This window comes from Homo sapiens, chromosome 16 (assembly GCF_000001405.40).
Source record: "Homo sapiens chromosome 16, GRCh38.p14 Primary Assembly".
NCBI classification, from domain to species: Eukaryota; Metazoa; Chordata; class Mammalia; order Primates; family Hominidae; genus Homo; species Homo sapiens.
The window spans coordinates 3,382,085-3,409,893 of record NC_000016.10 but is presented as its reverse complement, the minus strand read 5'-3'; the positions used below and the strand labels follow the sequence as shown (position 1 = coordinate 3,409,893).

The window sequence follows — 27,809 nt, the reverse complement described above, 5'->3', positions numbered from 1 at the left end:
GCCACTGTACCCCCATTGCATTTTGTTATTCTTAAAGCTAATGGGCTAAGTGAGAAAGGAGAGTGGGAAGAATTCCCTTTTATATCTCCTTAGTACTCTTTGTCCACTACTTGCTTCTCACTGTAGCTTTTCCTTATGTGTTAGGCTGGGGTTGCAGCAACTGTGTAGATTTTTTTTTTCTCAATCAAAGGTGCTTTGAGAACAGGCACGGTGGTTCACACTTGCAATCCCAGCACTTTGGGATGCCAAGGCAGGAGCATTGCTTGAGCCCAGGAGTTCGAGACCAGCCTGGGCAACATAGCGAGACCCTGTCTCAAAAAATAAAAAGGAAAAAAAAAAGGTGCTTTGATACAAAAAAGATCCCTCAAATGTAATTTTCTTTTCTTTTTGTAAAAGCACCATCTAACTACTTGGAAACTCTTCTCGCACAAACGTGCATATTCTCATTTAATTCATCCTTTGCTATAAACAGCTAGTAATTACAGAAAGAATATGAGGGATCTATTTTCCAATTAACTTTGCCTTGAAATTCTGGTAGATCACTCATCTTTATTAAAGAAGTGTGCTCATGATAAAAAATTGTCTGGTATGACAGCAAATGCATAACTATATATATAGAATTTATCCCTTAACATATTTTAGAGGATAAAGCAACAGAGGGACGATTTAACAGTAAGCGGGCCACCTGCAGGATTGTCCTGATTCTCTCTCAGTAGTTACTCCTTGCTCTCTGCAGAGACTTAAGTTCTCTTTGCCCCAGTGCCCAGACCTGCCTTCTCTTCACCCTGTCATCATGCACGGTTGGGCCCTGGTTGGCCTTTTCTGGGCCTCCTCACAGCAGAATGTGCATCATCATTCCTCAAGGGCCTCGTGCTTTCCTTGTAAGTCACACAGTTTTTGTGATTTACATGCAAGTAAGGGGGAGGAGAAACACAAACACCTTCCGTGTGAATCTAAAGCATGGAGTGCTCCTTTTAGTCCCCATGGTGAAGTCGGTGATGCTGGTGAAGGTTTGAGCTCTGGCGAAAGCTTTTCCCACACTGGCCACACTGGTATGGCTTCTCTCCAGTGTGGATCCTCTGGTGCAGCTTCAGGGTTGACTGCCGCCCAAAGCAGTTTCCACACTCTCCGCACGTGTAGGGTCTCTCTCCTGTGTGGACTCTCTTGTGTCTCTTCAGCTCTGAATTCCACGTGAAGCTTTTCCCACAGTCATCACATTTGTAGGGTTTCTTTGCTGAGCGGGTGGGCTGGTGACCAAGATGTTGCAAACGGTTGCTCAGACTCCGTTTACCTCCTTTGCTTTTCTTTAGCTCTCTCAGTGGGTGGCTTTTTAGGGGGCTGCTGATGTATTCCACCCTGCAATGTCTCTGGTAGTGAGCAAATGGCTTTTGAGCATTTGGGGAGCTGACCTGCCTCCGTGACAACCGAGGTTCACTCATATTTGCCCCTCTTGGTTCAGGATTCTGCAGACCATTCCCTTTGGATCTGCCAGCTGACACTGCACATGGCTTTGCTCCTTTAGCCCCTTCCTGTTGTGGATTTTCCTTGTTGTCACTTCTCATTCTGGGGGCCTCTATAATTAGAAAGAAAATGCTTCATTTTCTGCACTTGGAAGAAATAACTTCAGCAAGAGTTATGAAATACTCTGAGAGGTTTCTCAAAGGGTGGCCCTCCGCTGGCAACTTGCATTAGACTCATCTGGAGCACTTGTTAAACAAGCAGGCTCTTCACCCTTCCCCCAGAGCTGCTGGGTCAGAATCTCGGGGGGTTGGGCCTGATAATCTGCACAGTTAGCAGGCTCCTGGGGTGACTGTGATTTATATTAAATTTAGGAACCAAGTTCTCCATCCTCCTTCTTCCTTTCTCCCTTTAGGGAAAGGTTTAGGAAATGAAGAACAGGGAAAAGCAAACCCATCAGAATTGGGTATCTAATGAAGAAGGAAGAGAGGTGAAATCTCAACATTGCAAATTTTACTGCTGTAGTCCAATGCCTGAGCTATTTCAACAAATACCCCTCACTTAGTAAACACTAATTGACAACCACCTTCTCTTCAAAAGATGGTAAGTTCAGAGACTGTGATGTTTTCTTTCATTACAAATTTGACAGTATATGAGTTCAGAAACTGGAATCAGGGCTTAGCCATGTATCCTAATTACAGAAGGATTGACAGTCTGGATGGAGATGAGCTGGAACGGCCTATGGGAAATCACAGGATCTGGAGAAGGATCCCTTGTGATGTGGAAAATGTGTGTGTGCACACGTGCATGCACAGGCACATGCACGTTGTTCAATATGGCAGCCACTAGCCACATGTGACTATGTGGCTACTGGGTACTTGAAATGTGACTACTGTGACTAAGGAACTTAATTTTAAATTTTTTTTTAATTTTAATTCATTTAAATTCAAATGTAAATAATCAGCCTATACAATCAGGGTCAATTGCTTTTTGACAAGACAATTCAATGGGAAAAGAATAGTCTTTTTCATAAAGGATTCTAGGACTACTGGATTTCCACATACAAGAGAATGAAGTTGGACCCTGCTATGGTCTGAATGTTTATCCCCCCTGTCCCCTGACACACATATATTGACAGTCCCCAGTGCAGTGGTCTTGGGAGGTGGGGCATCTGGGAGGTGATTAGGTTATGAGGGTGGGGTCCTCATAAATGGGATTAGTGTCCTTATAAAAGAAACCCAAGAGACTACCATGTGGGGACTCATAGCAGGCACCATTTATGAGGAATGGGCCCTCGCCAGACACCAAATCTGCTGGCACCTTGATCTTGAACTTCCCAGTATCCAGGAACTATGAGCAACAAATTTCTGTTGTTTATAAATTACCTAGTCTAAGGCAATTTGTTGTAAGAGCCTGATCAGATTAAGACAGACCCCTGATCAGATTGACAGACCCCTACCTCAAAACCTATATAAAAATTGACTTGTTTATGTATGGGGAAAAAATAAACTTAAAATGGACCAAATAGCTGAAAGTAAGAGCTAAATCTATGTCTCCTTGAAGAAACCATAGCTGTACATATTTGTGCCCTTGGATTAGGCAGTGCTATTTTACATATGACACCAAAGCATAAAGAAAGAAAAAAATAGATAAATTAGACTGCAGCAAAATGAAAAACGTGTGCGTCAAAGGACACTGTCAAGAAAGTGAGACAACCCACAAAATGAGAGAAAAGATTTGCAAATTACACATAAGGGTCTAGTATCTAGAATACATAAAGGACTCTTATAAAAAATAAAGACAAATAACCTAATTTAAAAATGACCAAAGGATCTGAACAGATATTTTTCCACACAAGATATGTAACTGGATAATAAGCACATGAAAAGATGTTCAACACCATTAGTCACTAGGGAAATGTAAATCAAAACCTCAAATCAAAATTTCTCACCGAATAGGATGGGTATAAGACAATAACAAGTGCTAGCAAGAATGTGGAGAAATCGGAATCCTCACACAGTATTGGTGGGGATGTAAAATGGTGTAGCTGCTTTGGAAAACAGTCTGGTAGTTCCTCATAAGTTAAACATGGAATTACCACATGACCTAGCATATGGTAATTCCACTCCTAGGTATATACTCAAGAGAAATGAAAACATGTCTACACAAAAACACACATTTATAGCAGCATTCTTCATAATAACCAAAAAGTAGAAACAACCCAAAAATCTATGAACAGATGAACCAACATGAACAGAAAACCAACATGTAATATATCCGTACAATGCCTATTATTCAGCCACAGAAAAGGAATGAAGCACTGATTGATGCTACAGCATGGATAAAACTTGAAAACATGCTCAGTGAAAGAAGCCACACACAAAAGACCACATATTGTGTGATTCAATTTATTTATTTATTTATTTTTGAGACAGGGTCTTACTTTGTCACATAGGCTAGAGTGCAGTGGCACGATCTCAGTTCACTGCAGCCTCGACCTCCCAGGTTGAAGTGATCCTCCTGCCTCAGCTCCCCCAAGCAGCTGGGATTACAGGTGTGCAGCACCATGCCCCGCTAATTTTTGCATTTTTTGTAGAGACAGGATTTCGCCATGTTGCCCAGGCTGGTCTCGAACTCCTGAGCCTAAGTGATCCGCCTGCCTTGGCCTCCCAAAGTGCTGGGATTACAGGCGTGAGCCACTGTGCCCGGCCTGTGTGATTCCATTTGTATAAAATGTTCAGAATAAGCAATTCTAGAGACAAAAAGTAGACTGTGGTTGCCAGGGGCTAAATGTTTATGTTCCTCCAAATTCATATGAAATTCTAACTCCCAAGGTAATAGTGTTAGGACATGGGGCCTTTGGGAGGTGATTAGGTCATGAGGGTGCTGCCCTCACTGGAATGGGATTAGTGCCTTCATGAAAGAGCCCCACGGGAGCCTGTCTTCCCCTTCTGCCACATGAGGACTGAGAAGTAGGCAGTCTGTGACCTGGAAGAGGGGCCTCACTGGAACCCAACCATGCTGGCACCTTGAACTCAGACTTCCTAGCCTCTAGAACTGTGAGAAATAAACTCCTGTTGTTTATAAACTACCTAGTCTCTAGCATTTTATATTAGCAGCCTGAACAGACTAAAACACGAAGTACCTCATTGGATGTAGCAAATATTAAGAAACTGAGGATTTTTGTCGTCTTGTAACCCTCCTCCCTAACGTGCTCACTGTATCTTGTATTCACATCACCAGGCTTGGCCAAAATGTCACTGTCATTCAGGCTTAGAGATCACAGGACTGTGTAGAACAAGGCCAGCAGTTACACAAGTATCACACCAGAGAAAGGGAAATAGATTTGAGGATCTAAAGTACAAGCAACATCACAGAGGAGGACAAAGATATAAGATATAGGGTGGGTTTTTATTTCTACCAGGCCCCTCTAAACAGAGGAGCATTTTAAGCAATGAAACTCAGCCATAGCTTGCATGGAAGTTCATCTGTGGCCATATTTGGATCTGTCTTTTCTATAAGAAGTTCTGAAACGGACAGAAAAGTAGGTACAACCCTGTCATGCACTGGATTCTTAAATTTTCATTAACAGAAAACGATAAAAACATACTTACTTGTAGTATCACCACCATCCTAATTAGTGAAATTTGTTTAGTGAATAATCATCTACTATTATATATAACATTTAAAAAAACACACACATGTGGTCTATGCCTTTGCAGAACCATGAGATACATTGATGGAGATAAAGGGCTGATGAGAGGGAGAGAAAAGGCAGAGTGTTTACCTGTCCCAGCCAATTTGGGGGTTGGTTCTTGGAGGAGTGGGGATTTCTCCCAATGATGGGGGCTCAGCCGGTCATAAGCTCCTGCCTGGGAAGGCTCTGCTGGAGAGCTCTCCCTGAGATCTCTCCTAGGAGTCTGCGGTTGAAAGTCTGGCAGTTCCTGTTCTCCAAGCTGAGATCCAGTTTTCTCCAAGAGCACCTTTTGCCCCTGCATACAAACGGCCACCTAGGAACAAGCCCCATCCATTAATTCCATCCATCAGGACTGAGGGAAGCTTGATCTCTCACTGTTGTATAATGACCCGTTTACCTTGGGAATTGCTGATAACCATCTAGAGGTCAACTTTCATAGAAACCACTGAAACCCTCAAAGGAAGTAAAGGGGAGAACGTGAAGAATGACAGGAATGAGGATGCTACAAATCAGCCGAGTGGCTTCCCCTAAAGCTTGGGCCTTTCTCAAGGGCCAGAGTCAAAGTCATCAGGGTAGTTGCTGGCACAAATATCAGGGTCAGTCACAACACTGGGCCATCAGATGCCTACTCTACACACCACCCCCCACCTACTTCTGCTGGAAATAGGCCCTGTAGGAACAGGAAGCAGTATGGTGAGGGGCTGTTAAAAGTCCTTCTTACCTAATACATTGTTCTGCCAAAGGCTTTCCTGGTAAGGAGATCCCAGTAGTAGTAGGGGTCTAAGAGGACCACCCCACCTTCATTCCCTAACAAGTTCTATTTTCCGAAGTACCTGCCGTTTGCTTCTTGCCTAGGTCCTGACTGGGGTCTGACTTCGGGGCGGGGAGTGGCAAGCAATGGCAACGCTGGCCAGTTGAACTGTAACTTCCTGATCCAAAGACAATAAGCTAGTCAGGCATTGTGTGGCTCACTCCTGTAATCCCAGCACTTTGGGAGGTCAAGACGGGCGGATCGCCTGGGCCCAAGAAGAGTTCAAGACCAGCCTGGGCAATGTGGAGAAACCCTGTCTCTACAAAAGTACAAAAATTAGCCACGCATGGTGGCATGTACCTGCAGTCCCAGCTACTTGAGAGGCTGAGGTGTGAGGAACACTTGAGCTGGACATGGAGGTTGCAGCGAGCTGAGATCGTGCCACTGCCCTCCAGCCTCAGCAACACAGTGAGACCCAGTCTCAAAAAAAAAAAAAAAAATCAAAGACAAAAAGCTAGGCCAGGTGTGGTGGCTCACGCCTGTAATCCCAGCACTTTGAGAGGCCAAGGCGGGAGGATCACTTGAGGTCAGGAGTTCGAGACTAGCCTGGCCAACATAGTGAAACCCCCTCTCTACTAAAAAGTACAAAAATTAGCTGGGCGTGGTGGCAGGCACCTGTAAACCCAGCTACTCAGGAGGCTGAGACCTGAGAATCGCTTGAACCTGGGGTGCAGAGGTTGCAGTGGGCTGAAATGGCACCACTGCACTCCAGCTTGGGAAACACAGCAAGACTCCATCTCAAAAAAAAAAAAAAAAAAAAAAAAAAAAAAAAAAAAAGACTATAAGCTAAACACTGGAAAGACAATAAGCTAGAACTTCCAATGAAATGAAGTTCCCCAAAGTCCAACTGCTACCCAACAGGGTGACCCTATCTGCTAAGAATTCTGCTAGTAGGAAAACTAAGTTGGGTGGGGGAAGAGCTGACAGAAGGGATTTAAGAACCTTACAATTACTTCTGGTGACACAAGGTGCATAAAGGAATGGTAAGAACCTTGGTCCTCTGTTGCCTCACTGGGTATCAGTAGTTGGATTTTCTAAAAACCTGTTAATAACTCAGGATAGGTTCCCAGATAGAGGCTGGAAGCAACTTCTGAAGCCATCCAGTCCACTTCTGAGACTTAAATAGGGAGAGATCCAGATACCAAACATTACCCAGATGAAAAAGAAATCGGCCGGGCACGGTGGCTCACACCTGTAGTCCCAGCACTTTGGGAGGCCGAGGCGGGCGGATCACGAGGTCAGGAGATCGAGACCATCCTGGCTAACACGGTGAAACCCTGTCTCTACTAAAAATACAAAAAATTAGCCGGGCGCGGTGGCGGGCGCCTGTAGTCCCAGCTACTCGGGAGGCTGAGGCAGGAGAATGGCGTGAACCCGGGAGGCGGAGCTTGCAGTGAGCCGAGATAGCGCCACTGCACTCGGGCCTGGGCGAAAGAGCAAGATTCCGTCTCAAAAAAAGAAAAAAAAAAAAAAAGAAAAGAAAAAGAAATCCCCAGGATGATGGGAGAGGACCCTCCTTACCCACTGCTTTGGTTTCTTGGATGCTCTGTGAAAATCTTCCACGAGGGTCACAATCTCCTTGCTGCTCATTGGACATCGATGCCTGACCCGAGCCTGGATCTCCGGGGGCAGGATGGTCAGGAACTGCTCCATCACCAGAAGCTCCAAAATCTGCTCCTTGGTGTGCAGCTCGGGTTGCAACCACTGACGGCAGAGCTGTCGGAGCTGGGAGAGAGCCTCTTGGGGTCCAGACACCTCTTGATAACAAAAGCGTCTGAAGCTCTGGCGGCAGAGCTCAGGATCTGGGCAGTTTTTTTGCAGAGGAGGGCCCCGTTTCTCTTCTAGTTTGGCTATTATGTGTCTCTCTTGCTTGGAGGAAGCTTCAGTGTTGGAGCTTAAAGTTATCTCCATTTTAGCTGCCATTTTGGGCGTCAGGAGACAACTCTCTCCTTGTAAACGGGTTAAGCCTTTGGGATCATGACCCTGGAGAAGTCTCTGAATACTAGAAAGATTCTAGAAACGAAGGTTCTCTGAGGATGTTAGGGGGAACGGGATGCAGAGACAAAGCCTCACTTGCTAGCCTTTACTAGCCAAACTCAAGACAACGCGGTCCCTGGGAGTGGGAAGAGTTTTGTCTTCTTGTCAGTTTTTTGCAGTCTTGCAAAGGAGAAAAGTCATAACGTCCTAAAAGGACTCTGGGGAAAAAATACTTCTTTTATTTCAGTAGCAAGCACACAGGTCTCGGATTTAATGAGCAATACGCTCTAACCGGCGGGTGGAGCGGAATCCCTAGGAAAAGTTCAAGCTGTCGCAGGTAGCTTGCCCCAACTCTCCCGCATCCTGGCGGAAACCGACCGGGTGCATGTCGCCGGGTGCTAAACGGTAGAGCTAAGCGAGGCCACAGCGCCAGCCGGGGGTGTGAGGTAGCGAACAGCCTCCTGCACGCGAGCAAAGCGGCTGCTCGCTGCCGAGGCGCCGCAGGCCCAGTGGCTCCGGCCTCCAGGGCGGCCCCGCGGCCCAGCCAGCCCCAGGCCTGGCGAAGCTGCCGCAACCCGATGCGCAGCTGAACTCCACGCCCGGTGTGAGCTCGGACTGGCGACTGCGACACCGGTACCCCGAACAGCCCGGCGCCCCGCACCCACCTGCAGCCGACTCACCTCTCCGGGAACCCAAGACCGAGGGACTTAGGACCCGACACCGGCGAGCACGGGCTGGGGGCGGGGCCGATGCCACTCGCTGCGGAGACGCCCACTAGCTGCTGAGGACAACTACTGACAGGGCCCGCCTCCTGCCAAGGGCATTCTCTACCGTCTATTGGTTGCTGCGCCTGTCAATACCGTCGCAGTGCATCCCGGGAGCTGCAGTCCGGCAATTCGGCTTGCGGGCCTGCGCAGGGGCGTGCGTAATGGGCGGAGCGAATCGCGCCGCTGACTTCCGGCCCGGAGGCTGAGGGAGTTTGTGGAGTCGCGAGTGCTGGTGTCCGGTGAGTTCTCCGCTTCCTTGCGGCCGGCGGGATTAGCCGCTGGGCCCTGCGACGGCCGAGGAGCCCCTCCCCGCTGGGAGTCTTCTCCGAGGCGTTCGGGTCCGGCCCCGATGGGCGTCTCCTTGGGACAGGCAGCCTCCCTCAGGCCGGGCGTCCCCAGACGCGCCGCGATCACCGTGCCCCGCTCCCACCGTGCGGATCACCCCGAGCCTGAGCGCCGGCGCCCCGGGACCCCCTGGCCTTGACCCTGCTCATCTCGTCCCTGTCTCGCCCACTCCCTACTCATCCACAGTGCCTAGCCCTGGCACCGAGTGCGTTCTGAGTACTCAATAAATAGTTAACTAAGTGAAAAACCTATCAACCTGGCTCCCCATCCTCATGCTACATTTTTTTCCGAGTGTTTGGGCCATCGCTAGAGTGAAGTAAAATTTTCAGAGAACAGCATTTTAAAATTTAACGATGAGTGGGAGGTAAGGGGTCAAAAGGGGTCAAGAAGGGTGCAGGTTCCGCCTTCTGCATGAAGTTAGAAGAGCTTTTATTAAATTCTTCTTCAGCCAGGTAAGGCACAGGATGAACATAATGAAGGCAAGGGGTGCTGGTTCTAGTCCTGGCCTTGCTGCCTAGGAGCTGTGCTGTGTGATGCTTTAGGCAAGATACTTCATCGCTCTCAGTTTCTTTTTGGCTAGAAAGCAGTGCTAACAATAATAATGCCCTTGATTTCTCTATCTCTAGAAGCACTGAAATGTAAAGAGAATTTAAGTGAAGGCAGTTCAAGTTCCTTGAGAAAAGGGAACCCAAATCCATTTTTAAAATATAAAAAAATTTCTTTAATTTTTAAAAAACATTTACCATCATAACCATTTTTAAGTGTACAGCTCAGTAGTCCTGAGTATATTCATCTTGTTGTGCATGCTGGATCCATTTTAATACCACATGGTGAGGGTGTATCAGCCCCTGGAGAAAATGTAAATTACGATCTGCTTTAATCTGTGTTTTAAGTAGATAAAAACCAACACAAACTCATTAAAAAAGACTGCCTTCGCGGGTGCAGTGGCTCACACCTGTAATCCCAGCACTTTGGGAGGCCAAGGTGGGAGGATCACTTGAGCACAGGAGTTTGAGACCAGCCTGGGCAACATAGTGAAACTCCACCTCTACAAAAAATACAAAAGTTAGCTTCTATTTAAAATTATTTTTAAGGTCGGGCATGGTGGCTTATACTTGTAATCCTAACACTTTGGGAGGTTGAGGTGGGAGGATTGCTTGAGTTCAGGAGTTTGAGACCAGCCTGGGCAACAGAGTGAGACTCCATCTCTAAAGATAAAAAAACAAATAAAATTATTTTTAAAAGTTATTTATTAATTTTAAATTATATAAAACTATTTTTAAAATTAACTCTTAAAAAAATATTGCCTTACATAAACTGGCCTTGGAGATCCAAACATGTTGTCAAGACTTGAGTATATTGTCCTCTTGTAAACAGGCTCACTCCTGTGATGGAAGAGTGGAGTAGAGAGTGGGACATAGTTGGAGACAACTCTGATCTTACATTTGCCCAATTTACCAATTCCTAGAAAATGAAGAGCTTTCCCTACCTCTCATGTAAAATCTGAGAAAAGAATTTTGATAGGCCTAGCTGTGTGTCATATGCCCACTTCTGGGGAAGTGGGTATTGTAATTAATATCCCCACCAGAACCAATGAGAGGGACTTTTTCTTTTTTTGAGACAGTCTCGCTCTTGTTGCCCAGGCTGGAGTGCAATGGCGTGATCACAGCTCACTGCAACCTCCGCCTCCCGGGTTCAAGCGATTCTCCTGCCTCAGCCTCCCGAGTAGCTGCGACTACAGGTGCGTGCCACCATGCCCAGCTAATTTTTTTGTATTTTTAGTAGAGACGGAGTTTCATCTTGTTAGCCAGGATGGTCTAGATCTCCTGACCACGTGATCCGCCCGCCTTGGCCTCTCAAAGTGCTGGGATTGCAAGCGTGAGCCACCACGCCTGGTCGAGGGGGACTTTTTCACAAAGGAAGAAGATGCTGCTACTAGAAGTGGGAAAGGAATGCTGGAAAATAAAAACATACAGCAAACCCGAACAGTCACTTATCCACGTTGTGTGTGTGTGGAGTAATAGTAATGAAGAAGTTAATCAAGAAGCACACACACACCAGTTCTCCCCCGAGGAGAGGGTAGCAATTGGGAACATGAATTCAGGCTTCTTGAGGATAGGGAAGGACAGGAAAAAGACCTAGGTGTGTGAGGGAAGAAGGGAAGGAACAGGTGAACTATATCGTCAGGAACAGTTTGAGTAATTCGTCAGCAGACACAGAATCTTGGCTGGGAGAAGACTATATTTTTTGGTACTGTAACTGCCCAGTGGGTTCATCTTGCCCACTGCCTAGATAAAGCCAGTTTGTCAAGACAGGGGAACTGCAATAGAGAAAGAGTTTAATACGCACAGAACCGGCTAAATGGGAGACTAAAGTTTTATTACTCAAGTCAGCCTCCCCGGAAATTCAGAGGCTAGGGCTTTGGCACGCAGTTGGGTAGGGAACAGGGAATGCTGACTGGTTGGGGATGCATTCATAGGGCTGTGGAAAACGGTTTTTGTGTGCTGAGTGCGATTTTGGGTGGGAGCCACAGAGGAGTCCCTGGTCTAGGTGGAGCCATCTGGTTGTCAGAAAGCAGAGGCCTGAAAAGGCATCTCAAAAGGCCAATCTTAGGTTCTACAATCGTGATGTTATTTAATTGGGGAAGTTGCAAATCTTGTGACCTCTGGATAATCATTTCATTATGCCTGCATCTTAGCAGAATTCAGGCCCCTCTCATCCTCCTAACCTAGTTGTCTTTAATTAGTTTTACAAAGGCAGTTTAGTTTTGGGAAGGGTTATTATCATTCAAACTATAAACTAAATTTCTCCCAAAGCTAGCTTGGCCCACACCCAGGAATGACCAACGGCAGTTTGGAGGTTAAAAGCAAGATGGAGTTGGTTAGATCCTATCTCTTTTAGTGTCATAATCTTCTCACTGTTAATGGTTTTTGCAAAGGCAGTTAGCCAGGATGGTCTAGATCTATTTCTAGTGTTTTGGATCCTTGGTGTAGATTTGTGGAGGGAGTAAAGGAAAGGGATAGGAAGTAAATCACAAGAACCAGAGTGAAGGAATGTTTGATAGGTTTATATTGTCTTTTTCCATCCTCTTCAGACATCCTTCAAAGTTGAGCCCTTTTTTTCCGCTGTGAGTCTCTACACATGTCTGACACTCTCATGTCCCACGGATTACAGAAAGACATTCCTTGCAGGAGAACATGGCTTCCCAGTGATGTGGGAAAGATGGACTCTGATCTCCAGGGTAGAAGTGGCAACCAGAGTAAGCCAGTTCGTTGAAGCAAATGATGGCTGCAGTGAAGAGTACCGAGGCACACCCATCCTCAAACAAGGATCCCACACAGGGCCAGAAATCAGCCCTCCAGGGTAACAGCCCTGACTCCGAGGCCTCCCGTCAGCGCTTCAGGCAGTTTTGCTACCAGGAGGTAACTGGCCCACATGAAGCTTTTAGCAAACTCTGGGAACTCTGTTGTCAGTGGCTGAGGCCGAAGACCCACTCAAAAGAGGAAATCCTGGAGCTGCTGGTTTTGGAGCAGTTTCTGACTATCTTGCCAGAGGAGATCCAGACCTGGGTGAGGGAGCAGCATCCAGAAAACGGCGAGGAAGCTGTGGCTCTGGTTGAGGATGTACAGAGAGCTCCTGGACAACAGGTGAGAAAAGGAAGTCGGAACTTTGTGGTTTTGGTTATGAAGTTGTCGGGGAATCCAGTTACTGGAGAGGTGCTTGGTTGAGAAACACACAGTAGCCCTCTGCTGCCCACAGAAGGTCTTGGCTGTCTTGGATTGGTCCTATGCCCTTATAATACGGGAAGAATTTCTCATCTGTGGATACAGCTGCTAGACATTCATATATTTAATAATATTTGAAGTCCCTAATTAAGGTGGTAAAAACACTCAGAAAAATTCTCGAAAACAAGGCCAGGGAAAGGACAACTCTCCTTCACTCAGGGGATGGAGGAAAACTAGAGATGCTAGTGAATGAAAATCTAGTTTCATGCTAGGAGCTTCTTTGAGGGCAGAGTGACATGTGTTGTACACTCAACAAAATTATATTAGAGCCAGGCCTTGCTCTAGTTCTTGATGCCGGGATTAAGTGTTCAGTTTGGGACACTGATGGATTCATAAAATATCCTCTTACGGTCAGGACTAGGTCTGAGATCTGATTGGTGTAACCAGCTTATATTTTCTTGGAGCAGGGAGGTGGGAAAGGCACAGGAAGAGGAAAAGTAACATACCAGCTTCGGTTGTGGAAGAGTTGGTAGGAGGAAGGCAACTGAAATTGGGTAAGTCTGGGAGAGGCCTAGAGTAATGGAGGGCACAGGTCAGAGGAACGTTGGTCAGCCTGAGTGGGTCTGTGATCAGAGCAGGAAGCAGCTTGCTGGGTGCCAGAGTCTGCATGGCTGGAATGGGAAGGCCCTAGGCAGCAGATATACTTGTGTTTCCCAGTGAGGAGGTAGGGATGTGCACGGGCTGTGGGAAGAGGAATGGGTGAAGGGGGATATAGATGAAATTTGGTAGGATTGAAGAGTTAGTACTTTTGACTTAATTTAGAGAGGGGAAGAGCAGCTTGATGGTGATGCATCAGGGAAGAAGTTCAGGAAATTAGTCTGAAATCTGTGGGATTGGGACTCTTATTCATAAGTAAGATTGAATGGAGAGGTGCAGTAGCACTTGTATGAAGGTAGAACTTGGAGAACTGAACTATTATAAATAGAGTGGGAATCCCAGTATGCCAAGAGTCATCCTAGCCCAGTTCCCCTTCCATCACTCTGTTTGATGGTCTCTCCTCTTCTTATCCTTAACCATGTCGGAATCACACTTATGTTTATTTTATTTATTTATTTTTTGAAAGGGTCTTGGTCTGTCACTTAGGTTGGAGTGCAGTGGCATGAATGCGGCTCACTGCAGTCTCAGCCTCCTGGGTTCAAGCGATCCTCTTGCCTCAGCCCCCCAAGTAGCTGGGACTACAGGTGCACACCACCATGCCCAACTAATTTTTGTTTTTTATTACAGGTGAGGTTTTGCCATGTTGCTTAGGCTGGTCTTGACCTTCTGAGCTCAGGCAGTCCACCCACCTCAGCCTCCCAAAGTGTTGGGAATACAGGTGTGAACCATTGTGCCCGGCCCACACTCTTAATATAAAAGAAAACAGTGCAGGAGTGTATAGGTTAAACACCTATTTGAAACCTAATTTATTAGTCCGTTCTCACACTGCTATAAGGACATACCCGAGACTGGATAATTTATAAAGAGAAGAGGTTTAATTGACTCACAGTTCTGCATGGCTGTGGAGGCCTCAGGAAACTTACAGTCATGGCGGAAGGGGAAGCAAACATGTCCTCCTTCACATGGCAGCAGGAAAGAGAAGAATGAGAACTGAGTGAAGGGGGAAGCCATGAGAACTTACTATCACTAGAGTAGCATGGAGGAAACTGCCCCCATGATTCAATTACGTCCACCGGGTCCTTCCCATGACACGTGGGGATTATGGGAACTACAACTGAAGATGAGATTTGGGTGGGGACACAGCCAAACCTTATTACCTATCATGAAAGTGAAGGAGAGAGCAAGAAGTGGAGGTGGGTAGTAGTAATAGAGGTTGATATAATTTCTCAGGACCCCACTTGCCTCTCAGTACCTCTCTTCATTCCCTTTAAGGGTGTTTGTTATAAGCATGGGACTTAAAGAATGAAGATGGCTCTGAAAGACAAAAGTTGATTTTCAGTGACCGTTGATATTGAGGATTTTACAGTGAACAGGACAGGCACGGCCCCTGGCCTGCTGGAGCCCGCGGTCCATGGGGGAAACAGACAATCATAAATCAAAAGTAAACCATAAAGATCGTTTCAGATGAGTGCTTGGAAGGAAATGAGCAGAGTGATGTGATAACTGGAGTGTTGGGAGATAGGCTGTGAGGCAGGACTTCTCTGAGGTGACACTGAAGGAGGAGAAGGAACCAGTTGTCCCAAGAGCTGGGAGGAGAGTACTCCAGACAGAGGGCACAGCACATACCAAGAGCCTAAGGTGGGAAAAGACTGGGCGGGTTTGAGAGGAAGAAGGGAGGGCTTGTGGCTGGAGCTCAGAGACTGGGGAAGAGTGCTGTGAGAGAAAGGGAGGAGGCCGGGCAGAATGATGCTGGGCCTTTTAGGCTGCAAAGAGGAGTCTGGATTTTATTCTGTGTGCAGTGGGAAGCCACTGAAGAGTGCTGTTACTACGGAGGGACAGGACTCTAGATTTTAAAAAGATCACACTGGGTTCCATGTAGAGAGAATGGATTGGAGGGTCCAGCAGTAGAGAGGATGCAGACAGCAGATAGTGTCCTGGACCCTGATGGAGCCATGAGGTGAAGAGAGAGGACCAATGCGAGGTCTCTTTTGAAGACAGAACTGATACTGGATTTGGGGGGCAGAGGAAATGGCCTAGTGCTGAAGTCATGGGGGTTTGCTAAAGTGAAAGCTGACATTCTCTCTTCTGACAAATATATTTCAGTTTTTAACAGTTCTGGTGTGTCAGGCTCTATGCTAGGTGCTGTCATATAAATAATCTTAACCACTTCAAAGAGTTTTTTTTTGTTTTTGAGACAGAGTCTTGCTGTGTTGTCCACGCTGGAGTGCAGTGGCGTGATCTTGGATCACTGCAACCTCCGCCTCCTGGGTTCAAGTGATTCTCCTGCCTCAGCCTCCCAAATAGCTGGGGTTACAGATTCACACCACTACACCCAGCTAATGTTTGTATTTTTAGTAGAGACGGGGTTTCTTTCACCTTGTTGCCAGGCTGGCCTTGAACTCCTGACCTCACGTGATCCACCTGCCTCGGCCTCCCAAAGTGCTGGGATTACAGGCGTAAGCTACTGCCCCTCAAATACCTAATTCTATTAATTTTTATTTTATTACAGCAGCAATACAGTGGCTCCTAGATTTTTCTCTTCTGCTTCCTTATGTTACACATTTTTTAATGCCACTCTTAGGAGTTGTAAAGTCCAGCTTAGGCAGGAATTTGTAGTGATAGATAATGGGGTCTGTTCTCAGGTTCTAGATTCTGAGAAGGACTTGAAAGTACTCATGAAGGAGATGGCCCCTTTGGGAGCAACCAGAGAATCACTGAGATCCCAATGGAAACAGGAGGTTCAGCCAGAGGAACCGACTTTTAAGGGATCACAGAGCTCACACCAAAGACCAGGGGAACAGTCAGAAGGTAAGCAGAAGCCTCTGTCCTCACCTGAGGCAGGTGAGGAACAATCATTTACTGGAAACAAAGGTCTGAACTGAGTCCACCCAAGGGTTCCAGACTAAATGCCTTTGAAATACATCCAAAAACCGGCAGGGCGTGTTGGCTCACGCCTGTAATCCCAGCACCTTGGAAGACCAGACAGGCGGATCACCTGAGGTCAGGAGTTCGAGACCAGTCTTGCTAACATCGTGAAACCCCGTTTCTACTAAAAATACAAAAAATTAGCTGGGCATGGTAATCCCAGCTACTCAGGAGGCTGAGTCAGGAGAACTGCTTGAACCCAGGAGGTGAAGGTTGCAGTCAGCCAAGATCGCACCACTGTATTCCAGCCTGGGCTGTCTCAAAGAAAACAAAAAATATATATATATATAAAATATATAAATTTATATATATATATATATATAAATATAAATATATATATAAATATAGAAATATATATATAGAAATATATATATATCTCTCTCCATATCCAAAAGCAAGATTACAAATTTCAGTTGAGGGTAATAGCACTTAAAGTAGGAACAGAGATTCTTTATGTGTTAGCATAATTCTTTTTTATTACAATTCTGTTACTAAAGAATCAGGTGTCATTAAAGGTGAACATGGTTACCTTCACCTTCTGCACAGCAGTTTTTCATATACTTGAAGACATTAAATCCCCTTCCCCATCCAACTTAATCTTTTCCAGAATACATTTTTATTATTTTTGCTTTTCTTCCAGAGCTCTATTTTTTGTTTTTACTTGTCTTAATTTTTTTAGAAAACTTTTTTTGTTTCTTTGTTTTTTGAGACGGAGTCTTGCTCTGTCGCCCAGGCTGGAGTGCAGTAATGCGATCTTGGCTTACTGCAAGCTCTGCCTCCCAGGTTCACGCCATTCTCCTGCCTCAGCCTCCCAAGTAGCTGGGACTAAAGCACCCGCCACCATGCCCGGCTAATTTTTTGAATTTTTAGTAGAGACGGCGTTTCATCGTGTTAGCCAGGATGGTCTCGATCTCCTGACCTCGTGATCCACCTGCCTCGGCCTCCCAAAGTGCTGGGATTACAGGCATGAGCCACCACGCCTGGCCTTAGAAAACTTTTTAAACTAAAAAAATTATCTTGGCTGGGTACAATGGCTTATGCCTGTAACCTCAGCACTTTGGGAGGCTGAAGCGGGAGGATAGCTTGAGCCTAGGAGTCGAGACCAACCTGGGCAACATAACAAGATCCTGTCTCTACCAAAAAAAAAAAAAAAAAATTGTTTTAATTGAGGTGAAGGTCACATAACATAAAATTAACCATTTCAATGAACAATTCAGTTATGCTTAGTACATTCACAGTGTTATGCAGCCATCACCTCTGTCTAGTTTCAAAACATTTTTATCCTCCCGAAAAGGAAACCCTGTACCCATTAAACAGTTGCTCCCCATTCTGTTTCCATGGATTTACCTGTTGTGGACATTTCATATAAGTTGAATCACATGTATTATGTGACGTTTTGTGTCTGCCTTCTTTCACTTTTCATGTTTTGAGCATGTATCAGTACTTTGTTCCTTTTGATGGCTGAATATTCCATTGCATGGATATTCCAAGGGTCTATATTTTTATAAGTCTTTTTCCATAAAGTAATTTGGCTAGATACTTGCTGCCTTTTCTGTTTAATTGGAAGCTGCCATTACAGGTTGCTAGGTAAGTTTTTTTAAGAGACAGGGTCTTGCTCTGTTGCCCAGGCTGGAGTGCAGTGGTGGCATCATAGTTCACTGCTGCCTCAAACTGCTAGGTTCAAGCAGTCCTCCTGCCTCAGCCTCCCAAAGTGCTGGGAATACAGGCATGTGCCACCACATCCAGCCTGAAAAACAGTGTGTCTTGATGATGTTTAAGTTGGCAAACCTGTGTTGATAAACTGGAAAATTGTCTAAGAGATTTTAGTATTTTGTTTTTTTTTTTTTTTTTTGAGATGGAGTTTCACTCTTGTCGCCCAGGCTGGAGTGTAGCGGCATGATGTTGGCTCACTGCAACCTCTGCCTCCTGGGTTCAAGTGATTCTCTTGCCTCAGCGTCCTGAGTAGCTGGGATTACAGGCGCCTGCCACCACGCCCGGCTAATTTTTTGTATTTTTAGTAGAGACAGGGTTTCGCCATGTTGGGCAGGCTGGTCTCGAACTCCTGACCTCAGGTGATCTGCCTGCCTCGGCCTCCCAAAGTGCTGGGATTACAGGCGTGAGCCACCGCGCCCGGCTGATTTTAGTTTTTTTTTAAGCAAAGTTAATACTCTTGTCAACATCTTTATAAACTTTGCCACTTAGCATTTATTTCCTTTTAATCCTTGGGAACACCTGTGTTCTCTGTGTGTGATTTCCAAGGCTTTGGGACAGCAGGGGGCTGTAAGTAAAGAGAAGCAGGACTTGCTGCCTTCCAGGCTAGGCTCCCGCTCTTCCCAGGCCCATGGGCCACTCACAGATCTGGAGTGTTGTCACCTCCCGAAGGGTCACATACCTCTGAGTTGCCACTGAAGTTCCATTAATAAGTCATAGACATGATTCATTTTATTTGTACAATTTTTTTAATTTTCCTGTATTTTTAAGCGATGTCACAGTCATATTTGTACAATTCTTGAAGTTGGAGACTTGAGAAAAAATGTATTATCTTGGTGTGAAAAATATGAAGGGTTTCTGTTACTGTGGTATTTTAAAGAGTACTCTGGTTATCTTTGGGTGGCAGGGCTATGGAGAGATTTTTGTTTGCCCACTACGATTCTCTTTTTTTCCCTGACATGTATATTTTTCTTTAAAATGAAAAAAAAATTAAAGCTCTTATGCCAAGAGGAATCTCATGAAAGGAACTTCTCAACTCACAGAGGCCGTGAGCGCTGGCAGTGGTTCTCAAACTTGAGTTTGCCTCAGACTCATTCGGAGGTGGGAGAGTGATAAAACAGAGTCCTAGGCCCCACCTCCAGAATTTCCGATTCAGAAGATCTGAGGTGGGGCCCCAGAATTTGTATTTCTGATGGGTTGCCAGGGGCTGCTGATGCGGCTGGCCCAGGAGCCCACTTTGAGAGCTTCTGCTCTGTGCTGTTGTGTGGAAGCCGCCCTCTAATAGCGGCTGTTTTTTCCCCCAGCCTGGCTTGCTCCTCAGGCTCCCAGGAACCTGCCTCAAAACACAGGTCTCCACGACCAGGAGACAGGTGCTGTGGTCTGGACAGCTGGGTCCCAGGTGAGCTGTGGTTGATGCCTTCTGTCTCTTGAGTACCCACTCTCACCCCAAAACCCTCCTCCTTTCCAGAGACATGAGAAAGATTCTGTGTGGTCCATGGGGCTTCTCGGGTTATTTTGATTCTGTCCACTCTGACATCATCACATGGCTCAGAACCTGTCCCACTGGGAGCTGACCTCCCCTGCCTTTGCCTTGCCCCTGATCTGACAACTGTGATCCTGTCTCTGCCCCCACCCCAGGCTAGAGTGGTGCTATTTTATCGGTAGCAGCAGCTCCAGTGTTGTTACAGGGACCAGCCATGCGTGACAACAGAGCTGTATCCCTCTGTCAGCAAGAATGGATGTGCCCAGGCCCTGCACAAAGGGCCCTCTACAGGGGTGCCACCCAGAGGAAGGACAGTCACGTCTCGCTGGGTAAGGATCCATCTTCCCTCCAGGTCAAGGTGGATGTGTTCAGTTGTTCAGAGAGGCTGAAAGGACTTGAGAGGGAGGGAGACAGAGGGAGTGGGGAGACTGTTGGGTGGAGGGAAAGGAGGAAGTAAATGGGGAACCAGAGCAGGCCAGAGAGACACAGGCAGAGATCAAAAGAAAGGGGCAGCATGTGTGACCGGCAGTCAAGAACATGGGAGGTGAAGGGTGAGGCGGTGGAGAAGCAAAATGTTAGTGAGACAGAGTCAGAACAAGTAGTCCAGAGCCGGAGCCAGACAGGTGGCCACCAGGAGCACAGATGTGTTCATGCTGAATGTGCGCTCATGCACACAGGTAGCAGTAGTCGCTCCCGAGTTTCCCCAGTGGCAGAGGAGATTAACAAATAAAACCACCCAACCAGGACAGTCTACTATGCCCAGGCCTTCCGGGAGGAACCAGGCCCTTTCCCAGCATCTCAGGACACTTGGGGAAGGTTCTGCCAAGCAGACCGCTCTCTTGCCTTTCTCAAATCAGTTCTGTCCCATCTGGGCCAAATGCCTCCTCCTCAGAGCAGCCTCCCTGACCATGCAGATTCAGAGACAGACACTGCAGCTCACTGGGCCTAGATTTCTCCTCTGCTGCTTCACATGCAGGGTACTCCTGGCTAAGCCCAGGGTGGGAGGGACTACACAAGGCTGTGAACACAGGCCCTGTGACAGTGCCCCGCCTCACTCTACAATGTTGCCCTCCCCAGTGGTGTGTGGTTTTTCCCTGCTCTGCCCCTGCCATCCCTCCCCTCCTTTGCCAGGAACTCCCAGTTTCCTGGCTTCATCATGTGCCATTTCTTGCTGCTGCTTCAGGCTTCTGCACCTCATCTCTGTCCAGTTGCAGGAGAGTATAGTGTCTTTTTGAGCTCTGTATTGAGATTTGTATTACTAAGTATATATGGATAATACAATAAGGTGAGATATAAATATTTTTGTACTTGTGATTTTTAACTTATTAGGTGAAATTCACATGACATAAAATTAACCACTGTAAAGTGAACAATTCTTTGGCCTCTAGCACTTTCAGAGTGTTGTATAATTACCACCACGTCCAGTTCCAGAACCTTTCCATCTCTCCAAAGTAAGGTCCCACAACCATCCAGCAGTTTCTCCCCGTCCTTCCCCTGCAAGCCCTTTGCAGACACCAGTCTTCATTCTGTCTCTGTGGATTGAGCTATTCTGAATATTTCATGTAATGGTACCTGTAATTTTAACTGCTACAACATTAGGCTTATTGAATGAGGGCTTGTATTCCCCACACACTTTTGGTTTCTTGTCAACCATTGAGGATCCTTTAAAATTAGAGGTAAGAGTTGAGACAGAATGTGAGAGGACAAGTCATTCTTTCCACAAATATTAATTTAGTGCCTACAGTATCTCAGACCTAGTTCTAGGTCGTTAGGGATACAACAGTGAACAAACAGATAAAGATTCCTGCCCTGTGGGAAGAGACAGACCATAGCATAATCAGTAAGCGGCAGAAGATGTTAGAGGGCGATAAGCGCAATGGGAGAGAAGCAGCAGCAGAGCAGCGTGATGGGAGTGCTAGGGCAGAGGTTGGTTTGCAGTTTTCAGTTTGGGTCCTCAGGGTCGCCCTCACTGAGAAAATGACATTTGAAAAGACTTGCTGAAGGAGGAGGGATGAGCTATGCAGCCATATCCTACATGGAGGAAGAGTGTAAGACAGACGCAATGACTTGGGCTGGAGCGAGGTGGGCATGCCAGTTCACTGGCACAGAGTACACCCATGAGTAATGAGAAAACGAGCTCAGAAAGCCAGATCAAATGAGTGCTGCTAGCTGAGACTGAGAGGGAGCAATTAGAAACTTTTATAACAATTTGACACTGCTGCACTATTCGGTTGCATTTTTATTGTATTTTACAAAAGAAATAAGCACAAGACTCCTGTCCTTCATAGATAATTTGAGAAGTACTAATATGGGATCATGAGGCCCTACATGAAGGACTTTTTTCTTCTGAGTGAAATGGGGGAGCCTTGTGCGGTTCTGGGCAGAGGAGTAATAGTTTTAAAAGGACCACTTTGAGTATGTCACTTTATTTGGCACTTAACTCTACGTAAACATTTATTTGTGTCTCTTTTTGCTGGAGAGACTTCTATAGGACTGTGACCTCCTTGAAGGCAGGGTTCATGTAATATTTATATTTCTCAGAAACTGGCATTGTAGGCACTCAGTGTTAGTTAAATTGAATAACAAAGGAGGGGACTCCCTCTGGCTGTTGGGTTGAAAGTAGACCGTAGAAGGTCCAGAGTGGAAGCAAGAAGACCAGATAGGCTATGGCAGTGATCCAGGCATGAGGTGATGGTGGCTCAGTGTGGAGAAGAGGGGGTGACAAGAAGAGGCTGGTGCGCTTCAGAGCATCATGACCAGATGTTGGAATGCACTTGCTGGGACAGCTCTAGTCAAATCGGTCCTCATGAACTGGCCCAGATGGGCAGCAGGTGTGTGTGGTGAGGGTTATTTAGTAGCCAGCCATCCTGAACTGCTCTTCTCAGATGTTTACTACTTATTCTTACCTTGGTGTGTTAACTGCTGTCATTTAGTTTCCTGTATCTACAAGGATGACAGGAGATATAAACAGATAGAGATGGGCTGGCTGAGGAGGTATTCCTGTATCAGGGAGGGAACAGGCAGATATATCGTTACAACCAGCTCCTCTGTCCCCTGAATCTTTGCTTTCCTTGAGTATCACCTGTTCACTGTGTCCTCTTATGTGGCCACCCTCAGGAAGTCCCACAACTGTCAAGGCAGGCAAGCCACTACCCTTATTGCCAGCCACCTCTCCAGGAGGAATGAGTAGGATTGAGGATAATTAACGAGAAATTAAATAGGCAGCTTTAGTAAATAACCCTATAAGTCATTATCAGTGGAGGGAATGTCTTTTGTATTATACTAAAAGTTTTCATGTTTTAGACAAAAAGCCACAGTGAGATTTCTTCCTAGAAATAACAATAGCCAGTTGTGGCACGGTTTGAGAAACCAGGATGTAACTTTTTTTTTTTTTTTTTTTATACTTTAAGCTTTAAGGTACATGTGCACAAAGTGCAGGTTAGTTACATATGTATACATGTGCCATGTTGGTGTGCTGCACCCATGAACTCGTCATTTAACATTAGGTATATCTCCAAATGCTATCCCTCCCCTCTCTCCCCACCCCACAACAGGCCTCCGTGTGTGATGTTCCCCTACCTGTGTCCATGTGTTCTCACTGTTCAGTTACAACCTATGAGTGACAACATGTGGTATTTGGTTTTTTGTCCTCGCAATAGTTTGCTGAGAATGATGGTTTCCAGCTTCATCCATGTCCCTACAAAGGACATGAACTCATCATTTTTTATGGTTGCATAGTATTCCATGGTGTATACATGCCACATTTTCTTAATCCAGTCTATCATTGTTGGACATTTGGCTTGGTTCCAAGTCTTTGCTGTTGTGAATAGTGCCGCAATAAACATACGTGTGCATGTGTCTTTATAGCAGCATGATTTATAATCCTTTGGGTATACACCTAGTAATGGGATTGCTGGGTCAAATGGTATTTCTGGTTCTAGATCCCTGAGGAATCGCGACACTGACTTCCACAATGGTTGAACTAGTTTACAGTCCCACCAACAGTGTAAAAGTGTTCCTATTTCTCCACATCCTCTCCAGCACCTGTTGTTTCCTGACTTTTTAATGATTGCCATTCTAACTGGTGTGAGATGGTATCTCATTGTAGTTTTGATTTGCATTTCTCTGATGGCCAGTGATGATGAGCATTTTTTCATGTGTCTTTTGGCTGCATAAATGTCTTCTTTTGAGAAGTGTCTGTTCATATCCTTTGCCCACTTTTTGATGGGGTTGTTTTTTTCTTGTAAATTTGTTAGAGTTCATTGTAGATTCTGGATATTAGCCCTTTGTCAGATGAGTAGATTGCAAAAATTTTCTCCCATTCTGTAGGTTGCCTGTTCACTCTGATGGTAGTTTCTTTTGCTGTGCAGAAGCTCTTTGGTTTAATTAGATCCCATTTGTCAATTTTGGCTTTGGTTGCCATTGCTTTTGGTGTTTTAGACATGAAGTCCTTGCCCATGCCTATGTCCTGAATGGTAATGCCTAGGTTTTCTTCTAGGGTTTTTATGGTTTTAGGTCTAACGTTTAAGTCTTTAATCCTTCTTGAATTAATTTTTGTATAAGGTGTAAGGAAGGGATCCAGTTTCAGCTTTCTACATATGGCTAGCCAGGTTTCCCAGCACCATTTATTAAATAGGGAATCCTTTCCCCATTGCTTGTTTTTGTCAGGTTTGTCAAAGATCAGATGGTTGTAGATATGCGGCATTATTTCTGAGGGCTCTGTGCTGTTCCATTGGTCTATTTCTCTGTTTTTGTACCAGTACCATGCTGTTTTGGTTACTGTAGCCTTGTAGTATAGTTTGAAGTCAGGTAGCGTGATGCCTCCAGCTTTGTTCTTTTGGCTTAGGATTGACTTGGCAATGCGGGCTCTTTTTTGGTTCCATATAAACTTTAAAGTAGTTTTTTCCAATTCTGTGAAGAAAGTCATTGGTAGCTTGATGGGGATGGCATTGAATCTATAAATTACCTTGAGCAGTATGGCCATTTTCACGATATTGATTTTTCCTACCCATGAGCATGGCATTCTCTCTCTGTCATCAGGCTGGAGTGCAGTGGCACAATCTCAGCTCACTGCAACCTCTGCCTCCTGGGTTCAAGTGATTCTTCTTCCTCAGCCTCCTGAGTAGCTGGGACTACAGGCACACGGCACCACACCCAGCTATTTTTTGTTGTATTTTTAGTAGAGACGGGGTTTCACCATGTTGGCCAGGATGGTCTCGATCTCTTGACCTCATGATCTGCCCGCCTTGGCCTCCCAAAGTGCTGGGATTACAGGTGTGAGCCACCGCATCCAGCCTAGGATGTAACTTTTTAAGCTGCCAAAACTGCACACTGCAGTATGTACAGTCCTCCATGATCTAACTGACAGATCTAATTGACCTATTCTTTGTCCCCCAGCAACAGGTGTGCCCTGGGGCTATGAAGAGACCAAGACGCTCCTGGCTATTCTTAGTAGTTCTCAATTTTATGGAAAACTCCAGACCTGTCAGCAGAACAGCCAGATCTACAGGGCCATGGCGGAAGGACTCTGGGAGCAGGGTTTTCTGCGGACCCCAGAACAGTGTCGCACCAAGTTCAAAAGCCTACAGTTGAGTTACCGCAAAGTGAGGAGAGGCCGTGTGCCTGAGCCTTGTATCTTTTATGAGGAAATGAATGCTCTTTCAGGCTCCTGGGCCTCTGCACCTCCTATGGCAAGCGATGCTGTTCCTGGCCAAGAAGGAAGTGATATTGAGGCTGGAGAGCTGAATCACCAGAATGGGGAACCCACGGAGGTAGAAGATGGCACTGTGGATGGTGCAGACAGGGATGAAAAGGACTTCAGGAATCCTGGCCAGGAAGTCAGGAAACTAGACCTGCCAGTGCTGTTCCCAAACAGACTTGGTAAGACTCCCTTGGCTCTGATGGTCAAAGGATGGCAAAGTCCACTTTAGAGGCCATTAGCCTAGCAGTTGAGTAGGAGCTGTCACTGATCCTGGCATCATCATCATCTTGATGTGTGACCCTATCCAAGTTTTGGTTTTCATGGAGTTAAAGGTTATTCCCCTTGCATTTTACAGCCCTGATTTTGCATTTGCCAACCTCTTTCAACTAAGTTCATGTCATCTTTTCCCATGGAGTTTCACTATGCATTGTCAGACTGCTGGTTAGGCCTCCAGACCAGGTCCATCTTCTCCCTTTTTCTCTAGCATGGCCTTGCCTTTCACAGCCTGAGCCTATGCTGGCTGGGTACTTAGCACCTTGCTTTCTTCCTGTTTGAGCTGGCCAAGCCCAGGGTTGCCTTTTGTTATTCTGCTGCTAGAAGTTAGAACATTCAAGAATTGAGGGTACACCTATAAACAGACTGGCAGATGATATAGTGCTTAATGTCTTGCCTCAGTTTGTCATTGTGTCAGAACATCCGAAAAAAGATAGGAGAAAAGTTGGAGTTTAGGGCATAATTTTCCTGTAATAATTTGGAGCTCAAAAATATTACAATGAGAAAATAAAAAGCTATTAATTAGCAGGAGACTTAATCACATGAAGAATTTCAATTAGATATTTCTTCTACGTAGTATAGTTATAACTTTGCATTCCATTGTTTTCCTTCTCTATAGTCCATTGTATTTCTGTGGGGTTTTTTTTTTTCAGGTTTTGAGTTCAAGAACGAGATTAAAAAAGAAAATCTAAAATGGGATGATTCAGAGGAAGTAGAAATAAACAAGGCTTTACAGAGAAAGTCCAGAGGAGTTTATTGGCACTCTGAGCTACAAAAAGGCTTGGAGAGTGAGCCAACATCAAGAAGGCAATGTAGAAATTCTCCAGGGGAGAGTGAGGAGAAAACCCCATCCCAGGAGAAGATGAGTCACCAGAGTTTTTGTGCCAGGGACAAAGCCTGTACACATATCCTCTGTGGGAAAAACTGCTCTCAGAGTGTGCACTCTCCCCACAAGCCAGCGCTCAAACTGGAAAAAGTATCTCAATGTCCTGAATGTGGGAAAACCTTTAGCCGAAGTTCTTATCTTGTTCGGCATCAAAGAATCCACACAGGCGAGAAGCCTCACAAGTGCAGTGAGTGCGGGAAGGGCTTTAGTGAGCGCTCCAACCTCACTGCCCACCTACGAACTCACACAGGGGAGAGGCCCTATCAGTGTGGGCAATGTGGGAAAAGCTTCAACCAGAGTTCCAGCCTCATTGTCCACCAGAGGACCCATACCGGGGAAAAGCCTTACCAGTGCATTGTCTGTGGAAAGAGATTCAACAACAGTTCCCAGTTCAGTGCTCACCGGCGCATCCACACTGGGGAGAGCCCATACAAGTGTGCAGTGTGTGGGAAAATCTTCAACAATAGCTCCCACTTCAGTGCCCACCGAAAAACCCACACTGGTGAAAAGCCTTACAGGTGTTCTCACTGTGAGAGAGGCTTCACTAAGAACTCTGCCCTCACCCGTCATCAGACAGTACACATGAAAGCAGTACTCTCATCACAGGAAGGAAGAGATGCGTTATGAGTGTGTCGGTAAACTGTCAGATTAAGTTCCTCAGGTCAGCATGTATGAGCTTTCTTCTGCTGTGGAGAGATCTAGCCAGTCCCTGACTTTGCAACAGACCTACTGACTACTGGATCTTAAGACCCATGTCTAGGACCAGGAGTCAGCATAAGGACGCTGACCTCTCCTGGCTGTGCCTGTGACTCCAGAGTCCTATCTTACTGTGACTTAAAGTTTGATGGAGAGAAAGCTGTAGGATCCATAAATTCTACCAGGAAACCAGGGTCTTCCTGTTCCTAGCACTGAGAATGGGCACCCAGTGGTCCAAGAACACTTTCTGGGCTAACATAGTCCTCACACAGGGCTGAGAAAGAAAGTGTCTCCTTTCCTGGAAAGCACATGTAAAAGTTAAGGGCCTGAATCTCTTCTAAACCAATAATTGACCTCTAGGCACCCACCGTAATACTGCTACCTTCAGGGCAGAAGACACTGCTCTTTGTAACCCAGCCACCACCAAAAAGCAAACAGAAAGAAGGAAGGATGGTTAAGCCATTGGATAATACTGAATCTGTTTCCCTAAGTGACTTAACCTTAGAGCAAGCACAACATCCAGGTTAATTTTTTGTAAGATTTCTCCTTTTATTATTGCCCTCATCATAGTTCCTGATTGTCTCTTAAAGTAAGTGGTTTATAGACATTACTATTTCTGATAATAATTTACAAACTACTATAAACAAATTTATAAACATTACTAATTTCTGATGAAAATAAAGTTGTTTCTCCCTCCA

The 27,809-nt window shown here is 45.8% G+C and overlaps 2 protein-coding genes and 1 long non-coding RNA gene across 19 annotated transcripts in view, besides 4 other annotated features; 1 reads left to right on the top strand and 2 right to left on the bottom strand.

Annotated features, from left to right (window-relative positions):
* Positions 530-8,679, bottom strand: ZNF174 (zinc finger protein 174). 5 transcript variants are annotated; one of them, NM_001347868.2, is made up of 4 exons: positions 8,624-8,679; positions 7,488-8,161; positions 5,246-5,468; positions 530-1,573 (listed from the first exon to the last, which is right to left on the bottom strand). In NM_001347868.2, the coding sequence occupies exons 2-4, from the start codon at positions 7,887-7,889 to the stop codon at positions 975-977; spliced, it is 1,224 nt and encodes a 407-aa protein (NP_001334797.1). In that variant the 5' UTR covers positions 7,890-8,161; positions 8,624-8,679; the 3' UTR covers positions 530-974. The 5 variants fall into 5 exon arrangements, with proteins under 5 accessions (NP_001334797.1, NP_003441.1, NP_001334799.1 ...); NM_003450.3 differs by having other exon boundaries at positions 7,488-8,679; NM_001347870.2 differs by lacking the exon at positions 530-1,573 and having other exon boundaries at positions 3,853-5,468.
* Positions 8,333-8,552: a silencer, noted in NCBI's record as "silent region_7133". NCBI's record gives its function as "represses an Ori minimal core promoter by ATAC-STARR-seq in GM12878 lymphoblastoid cells {active_cell/tissue: GM12878}" and the evidence as "EXISTENCE:reporter gene assay evidence [ECO:0000049][PMID:35858748]".
* Positions 8,630-9,129: an enhancer, noted in NCBI's record as "H3K27ac hESC enhancer chr16:3450765-3451264 (GRCh37/hg19 assembly coordinates)". NCBI's record gives its function as "activates a minimal SCP1, AML or CMV promoter by ChIP-STARR-seq in naive and primed H9 embryonic stem cells {active_cell/tissue: H9 hESC(naive and primed)}" and the evidence as "EXISTENCE:reporter gene assay evidence [ECO:0000049][PMID:30033119]".
* Positions 8,630-9,252: a biological region, named in NCBI's record as "H3K27ac hESC enhancer GRCh37_chr16:3450765-3451264".
* Positions 8,890-27,809, top strand: ZSCAN32 (zinc finger and SCAN domain containing 32). Of its 13 annotated transcripts, none has more exons than XM_017023371.3 (7): positions 8,890-8,949; positions 12,247-12,702; positions 16,080-16,245; positions 19,377-19,471; positions 19,761-19,884; positions 24,953-25,435; positions 26,183-27,809. In XM_017023371.3, exons 2-7 carry the CDS (start codon positions 12,337-12,339, stop codon positions 27,040-27,042), a joined length of 2,094 nt encoding a protein of 697 aa, XP_016878860.1. In that variant the 5' UTR covers positions 8,890-8,949; positions 12,247-12,336; the 3' UTR covers positions 27,043-27,809. The 13 variants fall into 13 exon arrangements, with proteins under 13 accessions (XP_016878860.1, NP_001271456.1, NP_001311269.1 ...); NM_001284527.2 differs by having other exon boundaries at positions 12,150-12,702; NM_001324340.2 differs by having other exon boundaries at positions 12,150-12,702; positions 19,711-19,884.
* Positions 9,103-9,252: a silencer, noted in NCBI's record as "silent region_7132". NCBI's record gives its function as "represses an Ori minimal core promoter by ATAC-STARR-seq in GM12878 lymphoblastoid cells {active_cell/tissue: GM12878}" and the evidence as "EXISTENCE:reporter gene assay evidence [ECO:0000049][PMID:35858748]".
* Positions 10,225-27,809, bottom strand: part of LOC105371059 (uncharacterized) — a 34,555-nt gene continuing 16,970 nt past the window's right edge. Inside the window, exons 2-4 of the long non-coding RNA XR_007064949.1 lie at positions 13,287-13,521; positions 10,368-12,691; positions 10,225-10,263 (exon numbers count right to left, since the gene is read on the bottom strand). This is a non-coding gene — a long non-coding RNA (uncharacterized LOC105371059). The remainder of the gene's footprint in view (positions 10,264-10,367; positions 12,692-13,286; positions 13,522-27,809) is intronic.